Below are 13,198 nucleotides of genomic sequence, written 5' to 3'. Positions count from 1 at the left end.
CCCTGCTTCTTTTGCAGCTACTTGTATTCTCCTTGGGGTGTACCAGCTAATGTTGTTAATTTTTCTTTCATTAATAAAATATTTAAGAGCTTGTTCTTTTTTTTTTTTTTTTTTTTTTTTTTTTTATTATACTCTAAGTTTTAGGGTACATGTGCACATTGTGCAGGTTAGTTACATATGTATACATGTGCCATGCTGGTGCGCTGCACCCACTAATGTGTCATCTAGCATTAGGTATATCTCCCAATGCTATCCCTCCCCCCTTCCCCGACCCCACCACAGTCCCCAGAGTGTGATATTCCCCTTCCTGTGTCCATGTGATCTCATTGTTCAATTCCCACCTATGAGTGAGAATATGCGGTGTTTGGTTTTTTGTTCTTGCGATAGTTTACTGAGAATGATGGTTTCCAATTTCATCCATGTCCCTACAAAGGATATGAACTCATCATTTTTTATGGCTGCATAGTATTCCATGGTGTATATGTGCCACATTTTCTTAATCCAGTCTATCATTGTTGGACATTTGGGTTGGTTCCAAGTCTTTGCTATTGTGAATAGTGCCGCAATGACCCAGCCATCCCATTACTGGGTATATACCCAAATGAGTATAAATCATGCTGCTATAAAGACACATGCACACGTATGTTTAAGAGCTTGTTCTATGTTGCAGAGAAATATTCTAAATACTAGCAATATAGCAATTTAAAAAGCACTCAAGACTCCGGCCATATGAAACAGTAGGAATAATTTTATGTATCTTTTATGTATCTTGAATCTCTTCCAATGCTAAGAATAGTGTCATAATTGAAGTAAATGATCAATGTATCTCTTGTGAGGGCTAACCTTTTCATATTATATGACTTAGATACATAAATAAGCTAGACCAGCTATATACATTGTGTGGTAATTTTATTTGTCTATTTGGCTGGACCATGGTACCCAGATATGTGGTCAAACATTCTGGATGTTTCTATAAGGTGTTTTTTTAGATGAGATTAATATTTAAGATGATGGACTTTAAGTCCAGCGGATTGTCCTGAGCAATGTGGGTTGGCCTCATAAATCAGGTGAAGGCCTGAACAAACAAAAAGACTGACCCTCCCCACAAGTGAGGGTCAGCAGACACCCTTCAGACTTGAGTTGCAAATATCAGCTTTTCCTTCAGTCTCCAGTCTGACAGCCCTTAGACTTGTACCACAGAGTTTGGACTTATCAGTCTCTACATTCACATGAACCAATTCCTTAAAACAAATTACTCTCTGTAGAAGCATACATATACCCTATTTGTTCTGCTTCTCTGGAGAACCCTAACTAATATACATAGGGAAAAGAGTGATAAGTTCTTATTTAAGGCTATGGATAGGTTTTGTAGTAACTTCTATTATTGCTGCCTTGCCCTTTGGGAAGACTACCAAAGTCCAGCTTAGCTATGTACCTAGTGGTTCCTCCTCCTATGGGAGAATTGTACCTCCCCATTCCATTAACATAAGACTTTCCAAGGTGACTTCCTTTGGCCAATGACAAGTGAGTGGATGTGAACAATGCTATTTGCAAACATATTATTTTCCCTCTACCACATGAATAGCGTGTCCTAGAAAGACACTGCTTCTTCATACTGAACCCCAGAGTGAAAAGGCACAGGTACTAGAGCTGTAACTAATTCTTAAGCATTGAATCTAAATGTGAATACAAGAGAAGCTTTGCTTGTTTTAATGATTTCACAACTTCTAATATTACAGCAAAACTAGCCTTAACTAATACCGCTTAATGGGTTATTGATCTAATGTTCTCCCTCATAACCACAAAACTGTTTGAAAAAGATTGTGTAGGGATAAATAAATGTAATCCTTCTCTCACCCTAGGGAAAGTGCCCACATATATCTTGCTGAATTCTTAAAGTGGTATCTGCCTTAAAAAGAATAATAACCATGGCAAATTGTTGAATAGAAAAGACATTCACAACTAGTGGTGACAAATATTCTAAGGAAGAAGGCTTTAGCAGTTTTCTACATTCCACTGATTTACTCTGTGTGAGTCTTTTGCAATCTATCATATGAGAAAAAAAATTATTGTGCCTGCTTAAGGCAGGCAGCTCTAAGGTAGCATTCATTCATTGAGCAAAATATACAGTAAACACTAACTATGCTAGAGAGTAAGGGAAGCACCAGTGATGAAGACATGGTTTCTATATTCCTAAATCTTAAGAGAAAGACTGTAGAAATCTAAAAACCACACACGCAGAAAGTAATGTAATTAGTGGATCTGGATTTCAGCCTACCTATGAGTAATAAACATAAGATAAAATCCTGGTATTTTCCATAAGTTCTGTCCATCCCCCTGCCTATCTCCCACTGGTTATGAGGTTGCAAGCTAGATAAATGAGGACTGATGATGTGTAGTTTAATATTTTAAAATAAGTTTTTAATAAAAATGCATTAATGTTTTCTAAAATTCACATATATGTCGTTTCTGTATCCTCAGGCAAGCACTGGGTTGAACATATACTCAATAAATGGCTTCTATATTTCACATTGCATGCCTGTATCAAAACATCTCATGTACCCCATAAATACATACACCTACTATGCACCCTCAAAAGTTTTTTAAATATACAAAATTTAATTAATAGTTTCCAAATAAATTTTATTATTTATGTACCAAGTCCCTAGAACAGTGCCTGGCAAGATAAATGTCTGTATGTTTCAACATCATAATTAGGATCTCATGAACTTAATGCATATGAAAGGAAGCCAATAATTAGCAGTTCTCATAGACAACAATAGTAGCATAGACAATTCTAGGAAATAACTGGTAATTTAATCATACCATTCAGTCATCTGTTAATTTGTCAGAAGAAAGGTAAGCAAACCTCCGATACATTACTGAATCAATAATGAGCCACTGCCAAGTTCTCAGCTACCTAAGAATATGATTTTAGTTAGGAAAAATAGGGGTGTAGTAAGTAATTTAAAAGGATAACCTGGAGAACTACATGACTAGGGAACTTTAAAAAAGGTCATCAGTCATATTTTGGAGGTTCTAGAAAAATGTGTACATGCTAAAGAAAGATGAAACAGAAAAAGGCACCAGTTGCACACCTTTGATTGGCCTTAAAGCCTGCATAACCCAGAAGTAAAATCTAAGGTTGTGTACAAAATGTGTGAAGTTTGAAATAACCTTCTCACACAGATCCTCTGGCAAAAAGCAGGAAACATAAAGTCATTTAAAAATCTGATAGATCATTAGCAGACTACTGAATTATACTGACCCAGATGTGACACCTAGAACACAAACTTAAAAATAACTTAAAACAAAAACCCTCTGTATTAGTCAATGTTCATGCTGCTGATAAAGACATACCCAAAACTGGGAACAAAAAGAGGTTTAATCAGACTTACAGTTCCACATGACTGGGGAGGCCTCAGAATTATGGTGGGAGGTGGAAGGCACTTCTCTGGCAGCGGCAAGAGAAAAATGAGAGAGAAGCAAAAGAGGAAACACCTGATAAACCCATCAGATCTTGTGAGGCTTATTCACTATCACAAGAATAGCATGAAAAAGACCAGCCTCCATGATTCAATTACCTCCCCATGGATCCCTCCCACAACTTCTGGGAATTCTGGGAGATATGATTCAAGTTGAGATTTGGATGGGGACACAGCCAAACTATATCATTCCACCCCTGACCTCTACAAAATCTCATGTCCTCACATTTCAAAACCAATAATGCCTTCACAACAGTCCCCTAGAGTCTTAACTCATTTCAGCATTAACCCAAAAGTCTACAGACCAAAGTTTCATCTGAGACAGGGCAAGTCTCTTCTGCCCAGGAGCCTGTAAAATCAAAGGGAAGCTAGTTACTTCCTAGGTAAAACAGGGGTACAGATACTGGGTAAATACAGCCATTCCAACTGGGAGAAATTGGCCAACACCAAGGGGTTACAGGGCCCATGCAAGTCCAAAATCCAGCAGGGCAGTCACATTTTAAAGCTCCAAAATGATCTTCTTTGACTCCAGGTCTCATGTCCAAGTCATGCTGATGCAAAAGGTGGGTTCCCATGGTACTGTGCAGCTCTGCCTTGTGGCTTGGCAGGATACAGCCTCCCTCCTGGCTGCTTTCATGGGCTGGCTTTGAGTGTCTGTGGCTTTTCCAGGTGCACAGTGCAAGCTGCCAGTGGATCTACCATTCTGGGGTCGGGAGTATGATGGCCCTATTCTCACAGCTACACCAGGTAGTGTCCCAGAAGAGGGTCTGTGTGAGGGCTCCAACACCACATTTTCCTTCCACACTGCCCCAGCAGAGGTTCTTCAAGAGGGCCCCACCCCTACAGCAAACCTTTCCCTGGGCATCCAGGCATTTCCATACAACTTCTGAAATCTTGGTGGAGGTTCCCAAACCTCAATTCTTGACTTCTGTGCACCTGCAGGCTCAACGCCATGTGGAAGCTGCCAAGGCTTGGGGCTTCCACCCTCTGAAGTCACAGCTGAGTTGTACATGGACCCCTTTCGGCCACGTCTGGAGCAACTGGGACACAGGACACCAAGTCCCTAGGCTGCACACAGCACGTGGATCCTGGGCCCAGCATATGAAACCACTTTTTCCTCCTGGGCCTCTGAACCTGTGATGGGAGGGGCTGCCATGAAGGTCTCTGACATGGCCTGGAGACATTTTCCCCATGGTCTTGGGGATTAACATTAGGCTGCTTGCTACCTATGCAAATTTCTACAGCCAGCTTGAATTTCTCCTCAAAAAATTGTTTTGTTCTCTACTGCATCATCAGGCTTCAAATTTCCTGAACATTTATACTCTGTTTCCCTCTTTAAATGGAATGCTTTTAACAGCACCCAAGTCACCTTTTGAATGCTCTGCTGCTTAGAAATTTCTTCCTCAAATACCCTAAAAATCATCCCTTTCAATTTCAAAGTTCCACAAATCTCTAGGGCAGGGGCAAAATCCTGGTATCAAAATTTGTATTAATCAGGGTTCTCTAGAGGGATAAAACTAGTAAGATATATATCTTATATATTGTGGGATCACAAGGTCCCACAATAGGCTATCTGGAAGCTGAGGAGAAAGAAGAGCCAGTCTGAGTGCCAAAACTGAAGAACTTGGAGTGCAATGTTTGAGGGCAGGAAGAATCCAGCATGGGAGAAAGATGTAGTCTGGGAGGCTAGGTGAGTCTCTGCTAAAATGTAACAAGAGTCACCTTTGCTCCAGTTTCCAACAAGTTCCTCTTCTCCATCTGAAACCACCTCAGCCTGGACCTTATTGTTAATATCACTATCATTTTTGTCAGAGCCATTCAAGTCTCTAGGAGGTTCCAATGTTTCCCACATGTTCCTGTCTTCCTCTGAGCCCTCCAGAGTGTTCCAATCTCTGCCTGTTACCCAGTTTCAAAGTTGCTTCCACATTTTTGGGTATCTTTTCAGAAACACCCCACTCTCCTGGTATCAATTCAATGTATTAGTCCATTTTCACACTGCTGATAGAGACATACCCGAAACTGGGAACAAAAAGAGGTTTAATTGGACTTGCAGTTCCACATGGCTTAGGAGGCCTCAGAATCATGGTGGGAGGCAGAAGGCACTTCTTATATGGTGGCAGCAAGAGAAAAATGAGAGAAAAGCAAAGAGGAAACCCCTGATAAACTCAACAGATCTTGTGAGGCTTATTCACTATCACAAGAATAGCAGGGGAAACACCAGCCCCCATGATTCAATTACATCCCCCTAGGTCCCTCCCACATTATATGATAATGTGGGTGATACAATTCAAGTTGATATTTGGGTGGGGACACAGCAGAACCAAACTTGGAGTCCACAAACTGCAGAAAATTTAGAAGCTACAGAATTATTTCAGGAAAGTTGCTGAACAATAAGCAGGAAAAAGAAAAACAGGAATAGCAAAAACAAATGTTAGAGAATTAATAAATCTGATACCAAAGTTGATACATTATCCAAATGTCCAGTTTTCAGCAAAAATTATGAGACATGCAAATAAACAAGGAAGTACATCTCATGCATGATGGTGAGGGTTGGGGAAAGCAGGCAATGGAAAATGTCCCAAAGTGAGGCTCAGATATTGGAATTAGTAGACAAAGACTATTATCAACAATTATAATTGTTTAAAGTGATAAAACCATGCCTAAATAATCAAAGTATGACAAAGATATCTCATCAAAATAGAGAATATAAATATCAATAGTGATGAAGTTATTTTAAAAGACCAAATAGAAATTCTATAGCTGAAATTACAATGAAATGAAAATTTGCCAGCTGGAACAAACAACAGATTTGAGCCAGCAGAAAAAAAAAGATTCTATAAAAACAGAATCAAAGAAAATGAAGAAAGTGACTGCAGAGCCTCACAGACCTGTGGGACACCACCGAGCATACCAATGTATACTTAATGAGAGTTCCAAAAGAAAAAGATAAAAAGGCAGGAAAATTATTTGAAGAAATGATAGCCAAAGACTTGATAAAGTTGATGAAAAATACTAGTCCACTCATTAAAGAAGCTCAAGTAGAATATACTCAGAAATCTATACCAAGACACATCTTAGGCAAATTGGAAAACACACACACACACACACACACACACACACACACAAACATAAAATCCTGAAAGCAGCAGGAGAATAATGACATACATAAGAACACTCAATAAGATTAATAGACTTTTTATTAGAAGCCATTGAACCAAAAGGACAGTGGGATAGTATCTTCATTGTTTTGCAAGAAAAAGACTATCAACCAAGAATTCTATATCTAGCTAATTTACCATTCAAAATGGATAGATTAAGACATTTTCAGATAAATAAAAACTGACAGAATTCATTGCTAGCAAATCTACCCTTTAAGAAATACTTAAGGGAGGTCTTCAGGGTGAAAGGGCATTTGATGGTAATTCAAATTCATACAAAGAAATAAAATGTACCAGTAAAAGTAATTATACCATGATTATGAAAGTCAGTATAAATTTATTTTAATGGTATCTTTTTTCTTCTATTTATTTTAGTGGATAGCTTTATAAATCCACAAATAATTATAAATTTTTTTTCATTGATTTATAATCTAATGATGAAATTCATAAGGAGGATGAAATTAGAGCAAGGATTTGTATAATGTTGAAAATATGTTAGTATTAATTCAAACTAGATTCTTTTGAGATGCTAATTATATTCCCCAAGGAGAATAACCAGAAAAATGACCACAGAGTTATAAAAGAAACAAGAAAATTTAAGATACACACGAGAAAATATTTATTTGAAAACAATAAAGGGAATTGAAGAATAGAGAGGAGAAAAATATAGAAGATATACAGAAATCAAATAGCAACTGGCAGTGGCTATACTAATATCAGACAAAACAGCCATTAAGGAAAAAATTGTTATCAGATGCAAAGAAGAACATTTTATAATAATCAGAGGTTCAATCAATCAGGAAGATATACTATTATAAACATACATGCACTTACTGAGTCTCAAAATGTATAAAGCAATACCAACATAACTGATTTGAGAATTAGACAATTCAACAATAATAGTTGAAGACTTCAAAACTTCATTTTCAATGCTGTATAGAATTAGAAAGGTGATCAAAAAAGAAAGAAAAACATTGAACAACACTGTAAACCAAGGAGCCCTAACAGACATCTATAGAATTCTCCACCCAGCAGCAGAATATATATTTTTCTCAAACTCAGAGTGTAAATTCTCCAGGATAGATCATATGCTGGGCCATACAACAAGGCTCAATAAATTTCATAGAATTAAACCCATACAAATAATGTTCTCTAATTGCAATGTAATTAAGGTAGAAATCAATAACAGAATAAAATCTGGCAACATCTAAATAATCAATAACTGAAATTACAAGTGAAATTACTTTCCGACAAACATGAAAACACAACATATATCACATTTTATGGGCAGGTAAAGCAGCTCTCAGAGGGAAAGTTGCAGCTACAAATACATATTTTTTTTAAAGTCTCAAATGGCTAAACTAATCTTTAATATTAAAAAATAGAAAAGGAGGTACAAACTAATTCTAAATCAAGCAGAAAAAATGAAATAAAGTCAAAAGTGAAATTAATGATATAATATAGAGATGAGAAAAATAGAGAATAAGCCAATAAAATCAAAAGTTGATTTTTTGAAAAGATATAAAAATAAGACAACTTTAACCAAAAAAAAAGAAAAAAAAATAGAGAAGTTTCAAAGTAATAAGTCAAGAAAGAAATCAGGGAACTTCTTACAAAAATAAGACAACCTAGATGAAATGGACAAATTCATAGAAAGACTCAAACTACAAAAATGGACTCAAAAAAAGTACATAATATTAATAAACTAACAACAAGCAAAGAGACTGAATAGATTGAATTGGTAATATTAAAACATCCAACAAATAAAGCCCAGGTCCAGATGGCTTCACAAGTGAATTATAGCAACATCTTAGAAGAATTGGTAACAATTATTTACAAATTCTTTCAAAGAAACAGTGAACACATCTGAACTCATTTTATGATACCGATATACAAATGTATCACAAGGAAAGAACACTATAGAACAAGATCCTCTAAGTATATAAACTAAATACCCACCAAAAAAAAGTGTTAGCAAACTGAATCCTACATTTTAAAAGGATAATTTACCATGACCAACTAGTATATGGATTTATCTCAGTACTGCAAAGGTTATTTACTGTCTTAAAAATAGTAAATAATAAATTAACATGTAATAAAATGTAATATACTAAACAAAAATCACATGTTTATCTTAATAGATGCAGAAAAAGCCTTTGACCAAACCCAATACCCTGCATAATTTTAAAAAAAAGATACTTCAAATTAAGAATAGAAAGAAACTTCTTAAGCAGATAAAAAGACTCTACAAAACAAAACCCAGAGCAAACACCACACATGAATCAACACAATGTTTTCTGCCTAAAATCAGGAAAAAGACACAGACAACTACTCTTAGGACTCCTATTAAACATTGTACTTGAGGATCTAGCCAGAAAAATTAGTCAAGAAAAACAAATAAAAAACATTCAAACTTATAAAGAAAAAAATGAAATGACAGAACATCACTAATCCAAAAATTTGAAAACTCAAAAGCTCCAAAATTTGAAACATTTTGAGCACTGATATGATGCTCAAAGGAAATGCTCACTGGATCATTGTGAATTTCAGATTTTCAGATTAGCAATGTGGATTGCTCCATTGGTATGTATTTTGCAAGTTCCAAAGTTCCAAAAAATAAATCAGACATCCAAACCACTCTGGTGCCATTTATTTTAGATAAGGGATACTCAACTTGTATCCCTATTTGCAGATGACATGATCTTGTATACAGAAAATCCTAAGGAATCCACTAGAAATACCGAGAACTGACAAATTCAGCAATGAAGCAAGTCACAAGATCAGTGTACAAAAATCAATTAAATTTCTATGAGCAATTGTAATGAACAATCTAAAATTTAAATAAAGAAAATCCCATTTTTTACAGCAGCATAACAAATGAAATGTCTATGAACAAATTTAACCAAGAATTGTATGCTAAAAACTATAAAATATTATAAAAATAAATATCTAAACAAATGGATAGACATAATGAATTAACATTGTTAAAATGGCAATTTATCTGAATTGTTCTATAGATTAAGCAAAATTCTCATAAAAATCTCATCTGGCTTTTTTTTTGTGGAGGGGGGCTGCATTAGTCAAACTGATTCTGTAATTCAATTAGAAATGCAAAGAAAATTGAATTGCCAAAATAGTCTCAAGAAGAAAAAAAGCAAACTTGAAAGTCTTACTCTTTTATTCTTCCTGGTTTCAAAACTTACTATAAAACTAGAAATCATGACAGGTTGGTTCTGGCATAAGGATAGGCACAGAGATTAATTCAAAAGATTTGAAATTTCAGAATAAACACTCAATTTATGGTCAACTGATATTCAACAAGGATACCAAGACATTACAATGGGGGAAATAATAGTCTTTTCAATAATTGGTGCAGGGACAACTAGATGACAAAAGAATGTATTTTAAAATGTACCTTGCTTTATATGCCAAATTAAAAATGAATAATATACATAAATGCAAAAGCTAAAATTATGAAAGCCTTAAAAGAAACAGAAGTAAACTTTGTAACCTTAGATGAGACCCTTAAACATGATACAATAAAAGCATAAGCAACATCAGCAGCAAAATAAAGATAATTTGACATGACTAAAATTGTAAAACTTTTCTGTGTTGAAGGACTCCATCAATAAATTAAAAAGGTAATTCATCAGCACTAGATTTGCTTTATAAGAAATGCTTATCCAAACGTTTCAACTGGAAATAAAATGACCATAATTACTGTCATAAAAACACATGGAAGTATGGAATTCACTGGTGAGTATATAGTAAAATTCAGAATCCTTCAATACTGTAATGGTGGTCTGTAACTCCTTTATCTCTCCAGTATGAAAGTTAAAGTCAAAACAGTCAGAAATAAGTATAGCTACAATAAGTTGATAAGAACAACATAAAAAGATGTACATTGTGACATCAAAAATATAATTGTAGAGGGTAGGGTTAAAGTCTGGAGTTTTTGTATGTGACTGAAGTTATCAGTGTAAAATAGTCTGTTTTAACTCTGATATTTTGTGTAAGCCTCATGGTAATCACAAAGAAAAAAACTATAGTAAATACACAAATGATCAAAAGAAATAAAAGCTTGGCATTACAGAAAATCACCAAAGCAAAAAGAGAAGAAAAAAGAAACAAAAAAAATCTACAAAACAAGAAAACAACAAAATGGCAGGAATAATCCTTATGTATCAGTAATTACTTTAAATGTAAACTGATTAAATTATCCAGTCAAAATTCATAAACTGGCAGAATGAATAGAAAAATAAACAAGATTCAACTATATGCTAACTACAATAGATCCACTATAGCTTTAAGGACATACATAGAATGAAACTGAAGGGATAGAAAATGACATTTCATGCAAATTATAACCAAAAGAGATCCAGGATGGCTATGCTGATTTATATCAGAAAAAATAAACTTCAGATCAAGAGACAAAGCAACTCATTATTTAATGATAAAGAATTCAATTCACCAAGAGAACATGGCAATTGTAAGTATCTATGAATCCAACATTAGAGCACCTAAACATATAAGGCCAATATTAATGGACATGAAGAGAGAAATAGATAGCAATACAATAACAGAAGGGGACTTCAGTATGTTACTTTCAACAATGAACAGATCAAGTAGACAAAAAGTAATAAGAAAATACTATAATTGAACTGCACTTCAGAGGAAATAGATCTAACAAATATGTACAGAACTTTTCATCCAACAGCAACAGGAAACACATTCTTCTCTAGGGCACATTGAACATTTTCCAAGATAGACCATATATTAGGCTACAAAATGAGTCTTAACAAATTTAAAAAGATCAAAATCAGCCAGGTGCAGTGGCTCACCCCAGTAATCCCAGCATTTGGGGAGGCTGAGCCAGGCAGATCACTTGTGGTCAGGAGTTTGAGACCAGCCTGGCCAACATGGTGAAACCCCATCTCTACTAAAAATACAAATATTAGCCAGGGTGATGGCGGGTGCCTGTAGTCCCAGCTACTCAGGAATCTGAGGCAGGAGGATCACTTGAACCCAGGAGGCAGAGGTTGCAGTGAGCTGAGATCATGCCACTGCAATCCAGCCTGGGTGGAAGAGTGAGACTGTCAAAAAAAAAAAAAAAGAAAAAAAAGTCAAAAGTCAAAAGTCAAAAGTCAAAATCTTATCAAGTGTAGTTTTTGACCACAATGGTATGAAAGCAAATTTGGAAAATTCTCAAATATGAAAGTTAAACATGCTCCTGAATAATCAATGGGTCAAATTAAAAAATCAAAAGAGAAATTTTAAAAATATCTCAAGACAAACAATGGGAAAAAAAATACCAAAACCTATGGGATACAGAAAAAGTTCTAGGTTTATAACAATCAATTCCTACAATAAAAAAAAGAAATATCTCAAATAGATAGCTTAACATTATACTTCAAGGAGGTAGAAAAAGTATAAACCCAAAGTTTCCAGAAGGAATAATATAGAATGGAAATAAAACAAATAGAGGATTAAAAAAAGAGAAAAAAATTATAAAACTAGAGTTGAGTTCTTGAAAAAATAACCAAAATTGACAAATCCCTGGCTAGGTGAAGAAAAAGCCCAAATCTATAAAACCAGAAATAAAACTGTAGATATTACAGTACATATCTCAGAAATGTTTTGAAAAGGTTATAGGAACAATTATATGTCAACAAATATAGTAATCTAGAGAATGCAGATAAATTTCTAGAAAAATACAACTACGAAGGTTGAATCAGAAAGAAATGACAACCCTTAACAGATAGTAACACACACAGAGATTGAACCAGTAATTTAAAATCTCCCAAAAAAGAAAAGCCCAGGACCAAATACCTTCATAGCTGAATTCTATCAAACTGTCAAAGAAAAATTAATATCAAGACAGGCATATCTCATTTTATTGCACTTTGCTTTATTGTGCTTCACAGGAAATGTGTTGTTTTTAACAAATTGAAGGTTTGTGTAACCCTGCTTCAAACAGTCTGCTGTCACTATTTTTCCCAATAGCATATGCTCACTTCACGTCTCTGTCACATTGTGATAACTATCTCAATATATTAAACTGTATTATTAAATATTTATAGAGATCTGTGATTATTTATAGAGATCTGTGATTATTTATAGAGATCTTTGACATTACTTTTGTAACTGTTTTGGGATGCCAAGAACCATTCCCATATAAGATGAAAAACTTACAAATGCGTGTGTTCTAACTGCTTCGTTAACCAGCCATCTTCCCATCTCTCCTCATGTTCTTGGGCCTCCCTATTCCCTGAGTTACAAAAATATTAAGCTAAATAATCCTCTAAGATAAGCTAAATGACCTGAAAGTGTTCAAGTAAAAGAAAGAGTCACATGTCTCTCACTTTAAATCATAAGCTAGAAATGATTAAGCTTATTGAAGAAGGCATGTCAAAAGCTAAGACAGATCAAAAGCCAGGCCTCTTGTACCAAACAGCTAAGACAAGTTGAGAACACAATCGAAAAGTTCTTAAAGGAAGCTAAGTGTTGCTCCAGTGAACAGATGAATTATATGATGGACAAACAGCCTTATTGTTG

Source organism: Homo sapiens, chromosome 12 (genome assembly GCF_000001405.40).
Source record: "Homo sapiens chromosome 12, GRCh38.p14 Primary Assembly".
NCBI lineage: Eukaryota > Metazoa > Chordata > Mammalia > Primates > Hominidae > Homo > Homo sapiens.
This window is presented reverse-complemented; position numbering follows the sequence as displayed.